This window comes from Homo sapiens, chromosome 11, assembly GCF_000001405.40.
Source record: "Homo sapiens chromosome 11, GRCh38.p14 Primary Assembly".
In the NCBI taxonomy this organism is placed as follows: domain Eukaryota; kingdom Metazoa; phylum Chordata; class Mammalia; order Primates; family Hominidae; genus Homo; species Homo sapiens.
In genome coordinates this window covers 71325946-71344847 of record NC_000011.10, presented here as the reverse complement: position 1 = coordinate 71344847, position 18902 = coordinate 71325946, and the positions used below count along the sequence as shown (strand labels likewise).

Below are 18902 nucleotides of genomic sequence, written 5' to 3'. Positions count from 1 at the left end.
GCTGCTGTTCACAGGCCACCCTGGGGTAGTCAGGGCCAGGGGTCCCCTCCCCACCTCCTAAAATAAATGCAGGATCTAAGAGCAGCACTTGCTCCTCTCCAATGCCAGGTGCAGACATGGGAGAGCAAGGCCGGGAATGCTGTCTGGAGGACCCCCCAGCAACTTCCTTCTCCCAGAAAAGCAGAAGTACCTGTCCACTCACACTACAGTGACTTTCAGCAGTTTCTGGGGTTAATTTCTCAAAGTAAACTGCTCAGGACCACCTCATTCCCTTCTCTAAATCCCATGTCTCTGCACACTCCACAGGGGGCTGTGAGGAGGGGGCGTCTAGCTGTGTATCAGCTGGGGCTGGGGCTGCAGATGCTGGGCCTGCTCTCCTGTTTGTTGGACGCTTTGGCCCCAGTCTCCTGGTTGGGAAAACAACACAGACCCTTTAGGCTGAGAACAAAAACTCCAGCCTCCGTGGGGTCTCTGGAAATGGTTGAACTCCCGTACAGGAGTCTGAGAAGGGGACACACAGATGGGGGAACAGGAGCAGGTTTGGCCTCACGGAGGGGTGGGCAGTGGCTCCTTCGTCCTGGTCAGGAGCAGGGCACGGCTTCCTGAAGGAAATGTACCTGCTGTACTGTAGCCTGGCACAGAACTAGGGCATCTGCAGATCTAAACAGGGTGAGCCAGGAGATGAGGGGCTGCAACAGGGGAGAGGAAAGGGACGGGCAGGAGGAAGCGGGAGGAAGAGGAGTGGGAGTGAGCGGAGGGAGGAGGAGGGAGAGGGCAAGAGGAAGAGGAGGGAAAGCAGCTCTCACTAGTTCAGCAATGACCAGGACGGTGTTGTGCATTCTCTGTCTGGTATAACACAATAGCCCTACCAGGGAGGCTGTATTTCTAGCCCCACTTTACAGAAGGGGAAACTGAGATGTAGGGAACTTCAGGAACTTGTCAAAGGCCATTCAACCCTGAGTGGCAATGCTCAAACTCAGGGCTCTGCCAAAACCCCGGCTCTTGGCCTGCAGAACCCGAGGAGGGCAGGGGACCAGCAGGGGCTTTGGCCTCCAGGTCAGGACGCGAATTCTAATCCCAGCCTGCAGAGGGAGCATGTGGGTCAAAGGAGTTGGCAGCTGACTGGGTTCCGGGTGGGAGGGAGGAGCATGGAGTGGCCTTGGGGTTCCACAACGGGTGCTCAGGGTGATGACAATGCTGTCCCTGAGCCTGAGCCTGCTGCAGAGCACAGGGACATCGGGAGGAGGACGTGGTAGGCCTGGGTGTGAGCAGCCGTGTCAGGGGCCGCAGGGAGGGTGGATGGGAGCATGGGCGTTGAGAATGTGGCTGCAGGTGGGCTTCCTGAGTCCCCAGCCTGTGGGTGGGGCGAGGGCCCTTCCCTGGGTGAGGAGAGCCCGGGAAAAACAGCATCGGAACGGGTGGAAGAAGGGACGGAACCCACAATGGACCCCGGGAATGGGGCAAGTGGAGCGTGACCAGGGCGTGGGGACAGGCCTTCTTGGAGAGAGGGTCCCCGAATGCAGGGCTGGGAAGTGAGGAGGCGAAATGGGAGCGGGACAGCTCTTCTGGAAGCTTGGCTGGGAAAGGTGGTCTGGGGTTCTCTCTCTCTCCCCACTCCCTGCCTGCTTCTGCTTCAGTATCAGTGCATGAGTCAGCTGGGGCTGCAGTCACAAAGCCCCACAGGTGTTTATCCTCTACAGTTCTGGGGTTGCAGCCCAAGATCAAGGCAGCAGAGTTGGTTCCTCCAGAGGCCCTTCACTGTGGCTTATAGCTGCCACCTTCCCTGTGTTCCCCTGTGCATGTCTGTGCCCTCATCTCCTCTTTTGATAAGGACACCAGTCAGATGGGTTTAGGGCCCACCCATGTGACTTCATTTTAAAATAATCACCTCTATAAAGACCCTATCTCCACCAGGCACGATGGCTCATGCCTGTAATCCCAGCACTTTGGGAGGCTGAGGCAAGAGGATTGTTTGAGCCCAGGAGTTTGACACAAGCCTGGGCAATATAGTGAGAACCTGTCTCTTAAAAACATATTTTTAAAAAAATTAGCCAGGCATGGTGGTACATGCCTGTGGTCTCAGCTACTTGGGAGGCCAAGGCGGGAGGATCACTTGAGCCCAGGAATTTGAGATCAGCCTGAGCAACATGGCAAGACTTCGTTTCTACAAAAAATAAAAAAGTCGGCTGGGCTGGTGGTGCGCGCTTGTAGCCCTAGCTTCCTGTGAGGCTGAGGTGTGAGGATCCCTTGAGCCCAGGAGGTCGAGGCTGCATTGAACCATGATTGCACCACTGCACTCCAGCCCAGGTTACACAGAGATTTCTGTCTCAAAAAACAAATAAATAATCAAAACAAAGGTCCGGTCTCCAAATACAGTCACATGCTGAGGTGCTGGGGTTAGGATATCAACATAGGAATTGTGGGGAGACACATCTCAGCCCACGGGGATCAGTCGCAGCTTGAACTTGAGCTCTGACGTGGCTGTGGTCGGAGGACTCTGCATTCCTCTGGCTCTGAGATGTGACGTAATCACATTACCCAACCCACTTCTCACGTTCTCCACTGGGAAGCCTCACAAGCACCCCGAGACCTGAGGAGTCACCCTTGACTCTCCCGGGACTTGTTGGCACTCCCTTCAATGCAGACCTCCTGCCCAAGCCCCTGGTTTCTTGCCTGGACGACTGCGAGCCCCTCGCTGGTCTCCTGGGCACCCCCAGCTCTACTCCCTTCCGTTTTCCTCCTTGCAACATTTGTGAAATGCAAACTGGACCATGTCACCCCCTTCCTCAAAGCCTTCAGTGCTGCCCTGTTGCCCTTCGGACAACATTTCACAGCCTGGCCTGCAGGGCCCTGCCTGGCATGGACCTCTCAGCCACATTTTGAGTGGCCAGCCGTGCAACCCATGCCGTGTCTATGTTGGTCATCTTTCCATTTTTTGAATGTCCCAAGCTATTTCCCTCACCTGAGATTTGTCCAGAGCTGCTGCCTCCTCCCGAGATGTCCTCCCTGACTCGTCACCTGGCCAGCTCCTCCCACCTATGGGGGTCCACCTAGGAGCCACCCCATCCCTGCATGTCTGTGCTCCCACCTCAGCTCACCCGAGCACATCTGCCCACCGTGCACCTGCTCCTTGCTGGACAGTGCTGTAGGGATAGAGCATACACGAGACAAACAGGCTCCAGCAGGGCAAGGCGGAGAGCAGGCAGACGGGTAAGGAAAATAAACCAATGTCAGGCTAGTGGCAGGTGGAGAGTGAGGTCTCCTTTTGGAGGTCGTGGTCTTTAGTGGAGACCCACATGACAAGAAGGAGCCAGGGAAGAGCACCCCAGGTGGAAGGAACAGTTGGCGCCCAGGCCCTGAGGTAGGGATGGGGGTGGAATGTCTGTGGAAGAGAAGAAAGGACCATCGGTGGAACCTGTGGAAGCAGGCAGCACGAGCACCTGGGGAGGCTGCGAACTGAAGCCTGCAGAGTTTGTAAGCCCAGGCAAGGGATCTGGATCTTACGCTACTGGAGAGTTTTCAGTAAAGATGGGACATGATCTGGTTTATGCAGTTAAAGGATCACTCTGGGCCGGGCACAGTGGCCCACGCCTGTAATTCCAGCACTTTGGGAGGCCAAGGCACGAGGATCACCTGAGGTCAGGAGTTCAAGACCAGCCTGGCTAACATGGTGAACCCCTGTCTCTACTAAAAATACAAAAATTAGCTGGGCGTATTGGCTTGTGCCTGTAGTCCCAGCTACTCGTGAAGCTGAGGTGGGAGAAACCCTTGAACCTGGGAGGCAGAGGTTGCAGTGAACCGAGATTGTGCCACTGCACTCCAGCCTGGGCCACAGAGTGAGACCCTGTCTCAAAAAAAACCCCACAAAAAACAAAACATCACTCTGGCCATTCTAAGAAGACAGTATCAACAGAGAAGGGACATGCAAAGAGACCCCTTAGGAGGTTACTATAGAAGCCCAGGAGAGAGTTACCAGTGACCAGGGCGAGGGTGACGGAGTAAAGCTGGAGAAATGTGTGCAGACTAGTCTATGCTTTCAAAGTAGATTTAAGAGAACTTGCTTAGGGTCAATAAAGGTTGCAAGAGAAGAGGAAGCAAGGCAGATGCTGGAATTTTGACCTAAGCATAGACAGACCATCCCCTGAGAGTGTAAACCCCAGGGCACATCAGACCGTGATGGTGGCCTTTCCGATACCACCCTTTCCTTCTCCCTATGACAGTGGCCCGGTGAGGCTGAGGCAGGCATTCAGCTCAGCTAAAGAGCTACATTCCCAGCCTGCACCAATGCTAGGTGTCATCATGCAGGGGTGGGGGGCACAGGGAGGAGGACCAGGATTAGGGCAGAAGCTGAGAAAGACGGAGTATGAGTCTGTGGCCAGGTGGAGTTGGAGCTGCCCCCACTGCACCCCTGACACCCACTGCCTGCTGTGCAGCCCCCTGAGGCTTGCTCACCGTGGAGCTGCCCATTTCCACGGCATGTAGGCTGAACTCTGTCTCAGGAGCACTCCTCACTGGACTGTGACCTGCAGGACATGGGCCTCCCTATCTCATCCTCCTTCACCACAGAGGCCCCACACCCCACCCAGAAGCCTCAGCGCACAGTGAATGTGCCGCCAGTGTCGTTGGAGCGAATCAGTGACGGATGGAGGAACGCAGACATGAAAGGACCGTTGCGCTCGGTCCAAAAAGAACATCAGTAGCCCTTTGGCAGCTTGGTTCCTTGGCTTCCCCTGAAGTGCCTTTAAAATCAACTACAGTAAGAACTCATCTTTGGAATGGCCATCCACGTATTTTATGACTAATCCTGAGAAACCAGCATCACAGAGCCCAATAGGCAATGACAGTAACTATGGTAATTAACCCAAATCGCCCTTCTCTTTAAAGACCAGAGAAGCACAGGAGATGCATCCCCAGGGACTGTAAGGGATGAAGATGATTTCTTTAAGCTCCTGATATCTGCTCCACGGACGTGTAAAATCACAGCTTTGAACTCCTAGTTGAGTTGCCAGCTCTGCGGGCTCCAGAGAGACCACACACGGGTAGCCGCTGACTCACCTACACCTCAGCCCTGGGTGACCTCTTGGTTACAGGTAACCATGCGGCAGCCACCAGGCTCTGTCCCCTGCCTGCTGTGTTTTGGAGGTAGAGCCTGTGCTGGGAAGCACAGTTCCCGAAATGGTCTCCTTCGGCCTCCCAGGGCGATGCATTAGAAGTAACGAGAAGCTTCCCTGTCTGTCTGGATGGGGAGACCAGCAGGCCTAGACTTGCTAAGCAAATGTGTTTCCTCTTTGGAAAATGACTGTCCCTGGCAGCTCCCTGCCTGGACAGAGTCGGGTGCATAATGGACCTTAACTATGCGTGGGTGTGAGGAACAGGAGGGCCGGAGGCAGGCGCGGGGGCCAGACCACCCAGAAGCATGTGCTTTTGAAAGTGAAAATGAGCCATAATGACCCAGAAGGGTGTTGCTGCTTCATATTGGACTCCCAGTGGTGGAATACGTGAGAATGCTTTCAATTTTGTCGTTGAGACACCGTTGATTCTGGGATACGGCTGTGCGTGCGTGCTCTTCATCGTGGTGGAAATGGCTTGTCTTAATAAGCTCTGGAGCAAATGCAGGCTTTCAGAGTCACGCTGCAAAAACAGCATTTGGCTGTCTGCAGAGCTCCCCCAAAGCAAAGCAAACGTAGGACATGAGAGTCAAGAGAAAAAATCCTGGAGGAGGCAACCAGGGTGTGAGGGGGCCAAGACTTAGCAAATAAAAGTAACAGGGTGCATAGTTATATTGGAATCCCAGACACACAGTATTTTTTTTTTACATATAAGTATGTCCAAATAGTGCATGAGGCATACTTACACTAAAATAAATAATAACCCACTGTTTATCCCACATGTTATCTGGCAGCCCTGTACGGGGAGCGAAGCTCTGCCTGCCGCACATTAAATGAGTTTGGCTTGCCATCATTTCTGAAGGTTGAATTGTTGTTTCTGAACATTTTAACCCCTTGGCAGAAAGGAGGAGATTAGCTTAGCAAGTACTTTAATGGGTAGTTCACACGCTGCTATTTGCTATGGTAGTCTCCTCTGTCAGGCCGTTCTTGCATTGCTATAAAGAAATACCTGAGGCTGGGTAATTTATACAGAAAAGAGGTGTCATTGTGTCTCACGAACAGGAAGCATGGTGCCAGCATCTGCTTCTGGTGAAGCCTCAGGAAGCTTCCGATCATGGTGAAAGGTGGCAGGGAGCCAGCGTGTCGCAGCGTGAGAGATGGAGCAAGAGAGCGACGGGGGAAGGGGCCACACACATTTAAACAATTAGATCTTGCATAAACTTCCCGAGCAAGAACTCACTCATTGAAGGAAATAATGTATGCAGTGGCCCATTTCCAAGACAAAGTGCCTTAAATTGGCTTAGGTCAGCAAACTACAGAAGAAACAGGATATACTAGGCCCCTGCTTGGATAGCCAAGGCCCGCTTGCCAGCCCTCCAACCCCCTTGGTTGCCCTTACGTGAACTGAAGAAGTTTAGTCTAAGATGAAAGTTTACAGGCCGGGGGCAGTGGCTCACGCCTGTAACCCCAGCACTTTGGGAGGCCGAGGCAGGCGGATTACTTGAGGTCAGGAGTTTGAGACGAGCCTGGCCAATATGGTGTAACCCCATCTCTACTAAAAATACAAAAATTAGCCAGGCATGGTGACGCGTGCCTGTGGTCCCAGATACTCGGGAGGCTGAGGCAGAAGAATCACTTGAACCCAGAAGGTGGAGGTTGCAGTGAGCTGAGATTGTGGCACTGCACTCCAGCCTGAGCAACAGAGCGAGACTCAGTCTCAAAAAAAAAAAAAAAAAATGAAAATGTACTAGCCTGCAAAATAGCTAGCTTTTTCTGTTCTTATCAGCCTGCCCAGATACTTAAGTCATAAGTCAAATACTTGAAGAGCCCCCGAGCTGACTAGGATTGCAGTGCATTGTGGGCTGCAACAAAGTGCAGCAGGACAACTCCCAAAAATAAAACACCTGAAGTCCCTGCCTAACAATCAATAGGCAACATCTGGGAAGATTGTGACCCCACAGTACTCAGCCTATGAAGAACCAGGGGAGCGACCTGTGCACTGGGGGATGAACTGCTTGTTGAAACCGTGCTGGGTGTGCCTGCCCATCGACACCTGATCTTGCAAAGGCATCATTAAAAGTCTCATGTTCACCATTCTCCAGGTGCCTGAGTCCATTCTTTGGGTTTGGATGGGTGAGTTTGTTTATCACATCATCACCAAGGGGACAGTGCTAAGCCACTCACGAACGAGCCACCCCCATGATCCAATCACCTCCCACCAGGCCCACACCTCCAACACTGGAGATTGCAGTTCAACATGAGCTTTGGAGGAGACAAACATCAAAACCACGACAGCTCCTTTTCCCCTCTGTGCAGGCTGCACCCACAGCTGCTCCAGGGCTACGTGGCTGGATGCAGTGCTATGCAGAAAGCATGCTCCTTCATCTTTAAAAAACCCTGCAGGGTAGGGATCCTTGTTCCATTGTGAAGATAACTGTGTAAGGCTCAGAGAATGGCAAGAACTGCTCTAGCTCATGCAGCACATTAGCCAGGGTTCTTTAGTTGTAAGCAAGAGAAAAACAGGTTCTGTCTTGCATAAGCAGAACAGAAATGTATTAGAAAAATAAAGGGCAGCACAAACATGGCCAGAAGGAAGGGAAAACGCTGCGGAACTGGTGACAGGAGGTGTGCGTGGACATATGCCCTGCCGGCCCCAGACACAGGCCACCAGGTCACACTGGCCTCTCCCAGTCTCAGCCTCCTTTTCCCATGGTTCCGATCCACAGTTCAGGGCAGACATCTGATTGGACACAATTTACAGTGGCTGCATCTGACTGTCCCTGTTTAGGACAGGTGCATCTGATTGGGCAAGACTTTCAGGGAAAGGACACCTGATTGGACAAATGACTCAGGGCAGGCTCATCTGATTGGCTGAGTCAATCCACATTCCCATGCCCAGCTTCCAGGGAGGCTGGAAAGCAGAAGGGACCAGTGCTTTTAGAGTGTGTCTTAGAAGGGCAGATTATCCTTACCAAGACCTAAGGAGGCAGGTCCTGGAGAAACACAGCACCAACAACCAATATCTGTGCTCAGCTATGAAGCCGTGGGGTGGGAAACTAAAGGGAACCTGGACGGGTCCAGCCCCAAAGCCCCTGTTCTTTCCATTTTCCGTGCTGCCTCTGGGCAAGCCTGGGCCCTGGGTGGGCTCACAAGCCATGGGGTACCCCTCTCTATAAGCCTCTCCAGCACCACCTTTCAGAGCTCAAACAGCAAAGCACATCGCCAGAGGACACTGCCTGTGGGACAAATAAGTGAGCTACAAAAATGGCTTGGCACTGATTCTGGTGCTGCTCTAAGTCACAAAACCTTTCTCATCGAATATCTCATTATCCCTGCAAATCAGCCGATTGCACAGATAAGGGCGGCAGCCATATGGTCCGGCTTGCTAGGACAATCCCTGTTTTACACCTGTTGCCCTGGTGGAATTATTGATGGCACTGGTGCTCATTCTCAGAACTGTGCAATGTGGATGATGGATGGTCCCCTACAGATGAGGAGGAATTCTGAACTAAAGATGGGCTTGGCATGTCCTGGTGCAATTTCACCACCGTGCACCTGGATGTGGTCTTCCTCATAATTTTTTCTGCTCATTTGTACCTCTAGCATTTCCTTTGTTATTCTTGCCAGGAACATAAATTGAGATGAATAAAAAAGACATTGTGGCCTCTGGCTCCCAAGATCACATCTTCTCAGCTGCACTCTTGGAACACAGCAAAGTCAGGGTGATTTCTCTTCAGGGCTCCGCACAGAGCAACACCTTCCAGTCAACTGCCCTTGGCCAAAGCACAGGAGGCAGCTCCATCATTCTAATGGCTAATGAGGAAGTTTTCCTGCAGGTGAGCACAGAGCCACCTCCAGAGCCCAGAAGTTTCCAGGGCTGTCTTCCAACTTCTGGGTTCTGTCTCAGGTCTGCAACATTGAGTCTTTGCAGTGTCTATTCTGTTAACATCAGCCCTACCTCCCAGAGCCTTGGGCTTGCAGCTTCGCTGATGAACAGCCACTCTGCTCACTGTGCCCAGTCCCAGGACAGCCACAATGCCAAATGCATCTCCCTGGCCTCATCTGTCCCCTGTCCTCTCCTACCCAGGCCAGGAGTCCCTGCTCAGACTAAGCTCTGCCCAAACCAAGCAGGAGAGTCAGCTGACCAGGGTGGAGGTCTTGGGCCAAGCAAAGGCCCTGGGTTCAGAAGGACCAAAGGGTGGGAAAAGTAGCCACACAGCCCAGAGGCCAGCTGGCAGAAGCCAGTGCCCAGCAGTCACCCTAGATCCACACCTCTGTAGAGGGTGAGTTGTCCACCTCCCTGTGCAAGCCTGGTGGACTGCAAACTCTGGGCCATTCATCACCACACCAGGCTGCCCCAGAACTGGGCTGCATTAACAGGAGTATTATGTCCAGGAAAAGGGAGGCGAGAACCCAGCTAGGCTCTGGGATCCCAACCCCAAACACTGTGAAGTACAGAATTTGCTTCCTAGCAGTAGACTCTGGAAGGGGATGGATCCCCTTCAGAATGGATCCAGAAGAAATAGTCCCAGGAGCAACCAAAGGCAGGAGCCCTGCAGCCTGGAGAAGAGTCAATGCCCAGGAGAGAGCAAGCTGCTTTCTCCTGTGGAAATCATCCCCCATGAAGAGTGGAGACCTGGCCTGCACACCCCAAAAGGCTGAGCTATAGGTTGGAGGTCAGTTCAGCATGACAACAACTCCCATGTCCTGAGCACTTACCCTGTGCCTGGCTCTGAGAGGACGTTGTGCACACACTCTCTTTTGAAGGCTGGAGACCTCCCTGCACTGGCAGTCCTGCAATGCTCCCACCAACCCCAGAAACTCAGGGAGCTTCTGTAACTTGTGCACATCATACAGCCAGAGCCTGAAGTCCTATTGGGCTCAGGCCTCCTCTGTGCTCTGAACCACAAATGCTTCTCCACATACAGAACCTTCTAGTACAGTCATGTATCCACACTGTTATGGTCCCTGGGGTGACAGAGGAGGTGACTGACCCTGTCCCTGCTTCCTGAAGCTTCTAGGTCGGCCACAGAGTAAGGGTCTTAGGAAGTAGTGAGTCCCTGGATGAGGATCATTCCCACAGACACAGATGGCAGGGACTGGGGATGTGGATTCATGCCCCCTGCAGGGCTTTGGTGCAGGCAGCTTCTCAGAGCCACTTCCATGTGGAAACCCTCTGAGAAGCTTCTGGAGAACTGCAACCAGCTCCCATCCCCCAGCCAAGGACAGGGGGGCCACAGCAGCATGACCCTCTTAGACCTGTCTTCAGTTTTCCTCTGACCAGCAAAGCCTGGGGAGGCTGGGGGGCTGCAGCTGGGGAGGGCTGGCTAATGGGCACAGCAGGTGCAGAGATGGGGGCCAGTGGGAAGGAGCCAGGCAATGGGCTCTCCATGTGCACAGCCCAGCGGGGGCCTGGAAATAGCTGTCCTCCCAACTCAGCCCAGCTGGGCAGGGACCTGTGGGGTGCTGGGGAAATGCAGGAGCCAGTCCTCCTCCCTCCTTCTCCTGGGCCTAGCCTGAGCTCTGCCCCTCCCCTGGTGCACATCTGCCCTGCTGGGAGGGCTTTTAGTGCTCAGGGTCCAAGTACTGCTTCACAAATGAGGAGACCACAAGGAAGATGCTTTCTCAAGACATAACACTGCCTGGTGACTCTGAAAGGCCCAACCCCTGTGTGTGATTCTAGGACCAGTCTGTCCAGTACCACAGTGACCACTCCCCAACCCCCCATCCTTGTTTTCCTCCATAACCACCATGGCCTGTGTCTACTGAGCACTTACTGCCTGCTAGGAACTGAGTGAGATGCTATACACATCATATTTTTGGGTTTTCCCAATAGCCCTCTGTATTTCCCAATAGTCCTCTGTCTTAATCCCATCCCCATCATAGCGGACGGAACTAAAGTTTGGGGAAATTCTGTAACGTGCCCCAGACAGCAGAGCTAGGAAGGGGTGGAGTCCAGGTGAGAGCCCAAGTCTGAGTGCAGAACCCAGCTCTCCATCACTCTGAACTGGGTTGCTCCCGTATCTGAGAGCAATCACTGCGCAAGGAAACACCAGTCACTGAAGTGTAATGAGCTAGGGATAGGAACTGAGTCAGCCTCTTGGTGGGCCAGCAGTGCCCAGCTGGCCAGGTGTAATTGGCCTGGTGAAAGGGCCCTCGGCCATCCAACCCCTTCTGGGGGGGCTTCTTGTATTGCAGATGCCAGAAATCTAAAAACTACATTTCCCAGGTGCCCTTGCAGTGTGGGCCCTGTATGCAAATTAGGCATTGTATGAAAATGAGTTTCCTCCAATTATACACTTGTGTGAGCCACAGCTGCTCTCAGCTTCTGTGATGGGCACCACCACAGGGATGTTGAGCTTTTAGCCTATGGCCACTTGCTTTATTGGTGACAAGAGGCAGCCGTGCAGGTGGCAGCAGCTGACCCCTGCATCACAGCCCCATGGAACATTCTGGAAGTCAGTATTTCCAAGGGCAGCCTTCTTCTCCCCATTTTCTTGCCTAAGACTTTCCTGGATATCCAGCCAAGGACTGGCCACTCTGGCCAGTCCACTCTTCTTGTCTTAAACTCTGAATCTAGATTGTGTTTGTTTCCTGCAGCTGAAGCTTGACTGATGACTCTGGTGATTTTCATTAAAGGAAGAGGGAAAAAAATGTTTAAAAATTGTGCCTATTTCACAGATTAGGGTGCTGAGGCACAGAAGGGATAATCAACCCAGAGTCTTGCCAGAGTTGTTCCTGGTGCTAAGACTAGTCCCTGGACTCAGCTCTGGGCAAGAAAGGGATGGGGTGCAGACACAGTGAAACCTACTGTGCTAGTCTTTGGATCCTTGCCCACCTCGAATCCCAAAGTATTTCCCTCCCAAAGGAGCTTTGGCGTCAACTCTTCATCCAGTCATCAGCACAATTCCATTGTAGAGCTACGAGTAATAGGATCCATGTCATTTGTACAAAACAAATTTAAAAATGCAAGAAACAAAAACCTATTATTTTGAGTTGATTATGCACTTATGATCCATTGTAATATATGCATGTGATATGCAGATTTATGCACACACTTTGGAATGTGAAACTGCATAATCTTCTACCTTGCCCTTCTAAATCTCTTTGGCAAAGGCAGGGTTTGCATCGGGGTGCGTTTCAACACCAAATTGAGCTTGAATAAAGAGATTAGCGAAAAGGGAGAGGCGGGCCCATCACTTGCTATCTCATTTCAGCTACAGTTTTATGGATCTATCTTCAGGATCAAGCTGCAATGCTTTTAATGTCCCTCATGCAGGCCAAGCATCTGGGGAAGTGCTGGATGGTCCCACCTGCCGCTGTGGCTGGGGCTACAGCTGTGGCCTCTATGGCCAGTGCCCAGGGTGCCCATCAGGCCTGATTCCTGCCCAAGCACCCTCAAGGCAATGAGCCCTGAAAAGATGGGAGCCCTTTTGTCCTGTGGCTTGGGCAGGTTTGCAATATGTGGGAAGAGGAGTAGGGTGGAGACACTTAGCATGAGGTTGGAGGCGGCCCCAGGATTTGCACTGAATCAAGCGTCTGCCTGGTCCTCCCAGGATGTGGGCTGGGAAGAGGCAGTTTTCTCTGCTCTGGTGTCCCCAGGCTGAGCCAAAACTCAGAAGCAGGAGGAAAGCTGGACTGGCCATCTGCTGATGGCACAGCCCCAGCCTCATACCCCCAAGTCTATGAGTGCAGCCCTGGAGACTCATCTGTAGCCCCTTGTCATGAAAGGGCTCCCAGCAAGGCTTAGCATAGGAAGTAGGAGGAGCCTTTGGGTGAGTAAGCCCCCATTCTCCTTCTACAGGAGGGGAACCCCGTCAGGGAGGGGCAGCGGCCGAGGCATGCAGGGTCACCCTAGAAGCTGGCCCCTGACTCTGAACTCATGCTCCATTGCTGCTGCCACCCTGCCTGTTTCTTCACAGATATTTGAGTTCTCTGCCCTGCCCCCACCTCAGGTGCCCCAGGCATTGGTGGCCAACCTTCTGTGCAGTACTGGGTGGCTGGTCCTGGCACCCTTGCTGTTTGCCCTTCCCATTCTGGCCAAATCCCAGCTCTTTCCTGAATGCCCCTATCCAGGGAACACCAGCAGGAATGCCCCTTGGTCCTCAGGGACCTGCCTTAGCCTCGGATCCAGGAGGCTTTTTTGTTTTCCCAGTGTCTGCCGGCCTCAGGTGAGTCTGTAGGCACCTCCAGGCCTCAGTGTTTTCCCCTTTAATGCTGAGAGAATCATCCCCATATCCAAGAGATGATATTAGAGAAATGTCATAGCTCCTGCCCAGCACATAGCTGGTGTTCATGAAATAAATGGTGGGAGCAGCTTTTCTCTCCAGTTAGATCAGTGGTGTGAACATTTCAGGGGTTATGAAAATGTTAAGAATCTGATGAGAGGAACTGACCTTCCTCCCAGGAAAATGCACATGTGCATTCATAGAAAAATTAGATGGAGTGTCATGGGTTCCTCAGTCATTCATCTCCATCAATCTTTGTTCAAGCAGTGAGAACCCCGGCACAGCCCGGTCCATCAGAGCCTCCAGGTCACTGTGCATACTCCCCAGAGACTCTGACCCACATGGGAAGGAGGGGCTGGATCCAGGAGTGAGCTGCACAGGGAAGAAAGAAGCCTTCAGAGAACAGAGCACCTGGTCCACCCACCTCACCTGCCTCAGGTCCCTACCCAGGGAGACGCCACAGGTGCTTCTGGGGATCAGGGAGGGGTAATCCCTCCATTCTCTCCATCTGAGGGGCCTTGTGTGGCTAGACCAAGGTGATGGGAGCTGCTCTGCAAAATTTGCCTCTTCGTGGGACCTCTCCCAGCACAATTTAAATATCCGGAACTGGACATCATCAGACTTCCCAAGAAACACACAAGAAAGCCCACCGTTGCCTACTCACTTATTTTAAATGCTGTGATGCTCTGCCTCACAATCAGAGATTCCATTTTTTCACCAATGCATTATTTCCTTGGCCATTGGTGGCTGTGTTGAGAATTAGATTTCTCATGAGTGTTTCTCAGATTGAAAAATGCTTCATGATGAAGTAAAGTATGCAAGTAACCTAGAGGTATGTCCATGGTCATGAGACGTCCTTGTCAGCCGTTTGCCCCTCTGCTGCCTGTGGAGGCCTCTGACGTCACGTGTGCGTGGGCACCTGGCTCTGTCCTCTCCAACCTTCAGCGTGGAGGTGGGGAAGGGGCACCAAGTGGGAGCTGAGCCAAGGCAGCAGCAGGCTGGGCTCAAGAAAGAGGTGGGGGGAGGAGGACAGGCCCCCGGACCTCACTGTGACACCACAGAATCGAGTGGCTGGCCCACCTCTGGCTGTCATTTTAGAATTCTGTTTCTTCAGTGTGTACTGAGGCCGGCAGAAATGCACAGGCCTGGTCACGCAGGAAGTCACCTCTCCCACGTGTGCTTTACCCATCAAACATCCAGCCAGCCCCAGTCCATGCCAGGCATTTTTCTAGGCGTTTGGAGCATAACAGAGTTCAAGGGGACCGATTCCTGCCCTAACAATATGTCTGATGGATAAGAACTGACCTGGAGAAGAGGTCAGTTTCCTAACGAATAGGTCACTGTCAAAGGGTGGTAACATGGAGAAGGAAGGAAAGTGGCAATCAGGGACCTGGGATGAGTGTTGGGAGCAGACGACACGTTTAGATAGAGTGGTCTGGGACGGCCACCTTGAGAAGGTGATGTATGAGTCAAGGCGAGGAGGTGGCATGGGGAAGAACATTTCAGACACAGGAATGGCTGATGCAAAGACTCCAGGGCAGATGGGTACATGGGTGGGGAGTCTGGGGAAGGGCAAGGAAGACTGTGGGGCTGGAGCTGAGCAAGTGATGGGGGGAGAAGGAGACAAGGCCAGGCAGGGAATGCAAGGAATGGGGTTTCTGCAGTTGGGGCAGGTCCAGTGGGCCTTTTTAAGGGCTTTGGCTTTTATTCAAGGAGAAATGGGGAGCCCTCTAGGGTTTTGAACAGAGTCACATGCTGTGACCCACCCTCTAAAGCAGGGGTAATGATCCCCGGCCTTTTAGGACCCTGGCTGCACAGCAGGAGGTGAGCAGCAGGCAAGTAAGCATTCCGGCCTGACCTCTGCCTCCAGTCAGATCAGCTGCAGCATTAGATTCTCATAGGAGCATAAACCCTATTGTGAACTGCACATGTGAGGGATCTAGGTTCCCCACTCCTTATGAGAATCTAATGCCTGATGATCTGTCACTGTCTCCCATCACCCCCAGATGGGACCATCTAGTTGCAGGAAAACAAGCTCACAGCACCCACTGATTCTACATGATGGTGAGTTGTGTAATTTCATTATAGCACAATAATAATAACAAAAATAAAGTGCACAATAAAGGTAATGTGCTTGAATCATCCCAAAAAGATCCCCCCTGCATCCCCGCCCTCCCTGTCTGTGGAAACATTGTCTTCCATGAAACCAGTCCCTGGTGTCACAAAGGATGGGGGCCACTGCTCTAAAGGATCACACCAGGATCTGTGCCGCACAGAACCTCTAAGCACTCAAGAGTGGAAGCAGGCAGACCAGAGAAGATGCTACTGCAACAATTAAGCACGATGACACAGCCACTCAGCCCGGGAGGTGGCAGTGGTGAGGCTGTGAAGTGTTCATGCTGGGATTTAGCTTCAAAGCAGAATTAACAGAATCGACTTTTTTTTTTTTTTTTTTTTTTTGGACAAGGTCTTGCTCTGTCACCCAGGCTGGAGTGCAGTGGGGCAATCACAGCTCACTGCAGCCTTGACCTCCCAGGCTCAAAGGGTCCTCCCACCTCAGCCTCCCCAGTAGCTAGGACCACAGGCCTGTGCCCACATGCCCGGCTTGTTGACATGTTTGATCTGGGTGTGAGACAGTGAGGGAGGCTGGTTTTAAACTGAGCAACGAACCCAAAGGTTGGAGGTGCCACCACCCAAGATGTAGCAGGATCCAGTGTGGCACCTTTGGCAGGAACAGTTAGGAGCTGGACTGAAAATACTGGCAGACATACATGCAGCCATGAGCTTTCAGGCCTATATAGCTGGAGTGCAGGAAGGTCTGGGCTGGGGGTGTGGGCACCTGGGTGGAACGAGAGACACGCCTGGAGCAGAGCAGCAAGGAAGGGACTGCAGGCAGAGAAAGAACATGTCCAGCTGGGCTGTTCCAGCCTTAAGAGGAAGATAGGAGCCAGGCGCAGTGGCTCATGCCTGTAATCCCAGCACTTTGGGAGGCCGAGGCAGGTGGATCATGAGGTCAGGAGATTGAGACCATCCTGGCTAACATGGTGAAACCTCATTTCTACTAAAAATACACACACACACACAAAATAATAATAGCCGGAGATAGTGGCACATGCCTGTAGTCCCAGCTACTCAGCAGGCAAGGGCAGGAGAATCACTTGAACCCAGGAGGCGGAGGTTGCAGTAAGCCGAAATTGCACCAGTGCACTCCAGCCTGGGCGACAGAGCAAGACTCCATCTCAAAGAAAATAAATAAATAAAAATTTAAAATTAAAAAAAAATGAGCTGGGCATTGTGGTACACACCTGAGGTTCCAGCTACTTAGGAGGCTGAGTTTGGAGGATCAGTTGAACCCAGGAATTCAAGGCTGCTGTAAGCCATGATTGCACCACTGCACTCCAACCTGGGCAACAAAGCAAGACCCCATCGTTCGCAAAAAAATAAAAACTAGCTGGATATGGTGGTGTACACCTAAGGTTCCAGCTACTCAGGAAGCTGAGATGGAAGAATCGCTTGAGCCCAGGAGTTTGAGGCTGCTGTGACCATGCCACTGCACCCTAGCCTGGGCGACAGAGCCCTGGAAGCCAACACCACAGAGGGAGGAGGGGGCACTACCCACACGTTCCTGGGGCCAACACGATGGGGACTGAGGACTGACCGTGCTTGGGCAATGCAGTGGTCACTCTGAGTGACCCTAATGAAAGCACTTTGGATGGGTTCCTCAGGTCCTCGAAACCACCATGTGAGCAGGGACCATCGCTACCAACATCTTACAGCTGAGGAAACAAACGCTCAGAAACACAGCCCAGCTCCCACAGCCAGGTGTACAGGCAAGCAGGGCCTGCAGAGGACGCCTGCTCACAAGATGGGGTTCAGAGCCCGCGTCCTGGGCAGTTCCTCATACACCGTGGTCAGGATGCACAGCCAAGTCCCAGGCGGTCCCCAGGATCTTGGTGCAGAGACCAAGTCCACCAGGCAGACTCAAAAGCAAAGTCAGGCTAATGACAGGGGCTGGGCCCAGAGCAAGGTGCTGGGAGCCGGGGCTGGACCAGAAGTCAGGCAGCTCGGCATGAACAGGGATTCAAACCTGTCTGTTCACTGGGGTGCAGACGTGCAGCCTGGGAGTGGGGACAGGGGTACATTGGTACAGTGCTATGAGGTGCCACCTGCACCAGGTGGAAGGGAGTGTTCATGCCAGGTCTCCAGAAGGACAGGGAGGAGGCCTTAGAGGCCACTGCCGGCTTCCTGCCTGCAACTGCTCTTGTCTGGAGACAGGAGAGACTGAACCATCCAGGGCAAGGGGGCTCAGGACCTGGACGTGCTAAGTTTAAAAGCCAGAGGCTGGAAAAACAGACCCAGACAATTTTGCAGATGGGTCCTCAGATGTGTTCTGTGTTTCTCTGCATCACACAGACCACAGCAGAAATGAGAGGCTTGGATGACAGGAGACCCTGTGTCCATCTGCACTTGGCCCCTGCCCTTGAGGCAGGCTCCATGCCTCCCCCAGGTGCGGTAGTTGAGTAAGGAAAGCAGTCTGCCAGCGTCGTGCGGCCCATGTGCCCAAACGTGCACATCTGCATTGACCCCATGAACACTGGAGTTGCATGGGCCCCAAGAGGGCATCATGCCTTCAGCCCACGTTTCTCCAAGCCTCAGGATATTATTGAAGTCTCTGGGCTGCAAGTAGGATGGCTGCCTGATTCACCTCCCAGCCTCCCCTGGGGTTGCTTCTTGGATGCCACATATCCACAGTCCACCGACTGGCCAGAGGAGGGCTGGGCGAAAGTGCAGCCACTTGTCTGCTGGACATCCCAGGAAGAGGACAGCCATGGCATTTAATACCCCAGACAAGCAAATCACCAGTAAGTGACAGATCTTCCTCCGTGGGGTTGGTGTTGGAAATGCTGAGAGGCATGGAATCTGGCGGTGGCTGGCTCCTCCGTGGCTCTGAGTTGACCAAGGAGAACCGGCCTCTGGAGTGGCAGTAAATCCAGGAGTGGGCTGTGCTGTTGACACCTTGGAAGGGTCTCCTGGGGCCGGGCCAACTGTAGGTGATTTGTAATTGAATGGTGCTGAAACTTGGAAGATCCTCACACTCAGCAAGGAAACACCACCTTCCTGGCCCTTCAAGCAACGTGAACTCAATTTGCCAAGCTTTTCCCTGAAGCAGCAGTGACGCTTCCTACCGAGTTGGACCTGGTGCAAACCTGTGGCCACCCGCAGGGGCTGTGAAGGCTCTGAAGGAAGAGGTCACCAGGACCAGGCTTGTTCTGGGGACAGATGAGGATGTGCCTAGTCCTGAAAGACTGAACATTGCTTCCCACGGCACCTGACCCCAGGGCACTCTTCCTAGTCCCATAGGATCCAGGCCCAGGCTGGCTTCCGCCGCCCCTGGGAAATGGAATTTGTGCAATACCACCTGTATTCCTTTGCTGTGGCTGCCTTAACAAAGCCCCACAGATGTGTGGTTTAAGCAACAGACACTTACTGTCTCAGAGTCCTGGCAGCTGGAAGGCCGAGATCAAGGTGTGGCAGGCCTGGCTCCTCCTGAGGCCTCTCTTCCTGG

The 18902-nt window shown here is 53.0% G+C and overlaps 1 annotated feature.

Annotated features, from left to right (window-relative positions):
• Nucleotides 786-1285: an enhancer, noted in NCBI's record as "H3K4me1 hESC enhancer chr11:71054609-71055108 (GRCh37/hg19 assembly coordinates)". NCBI's record gives its function as "activates a minimal SCP1, AML or CMV promoter by ChIP-STARR-seq in naive H9 embryonic stem cells {active_cell/tissue: H9 hESC(naive)}" and the evidence as "EXISTENCE:reporter gene assay evidence [ECO:0000049][PMID:30033119]".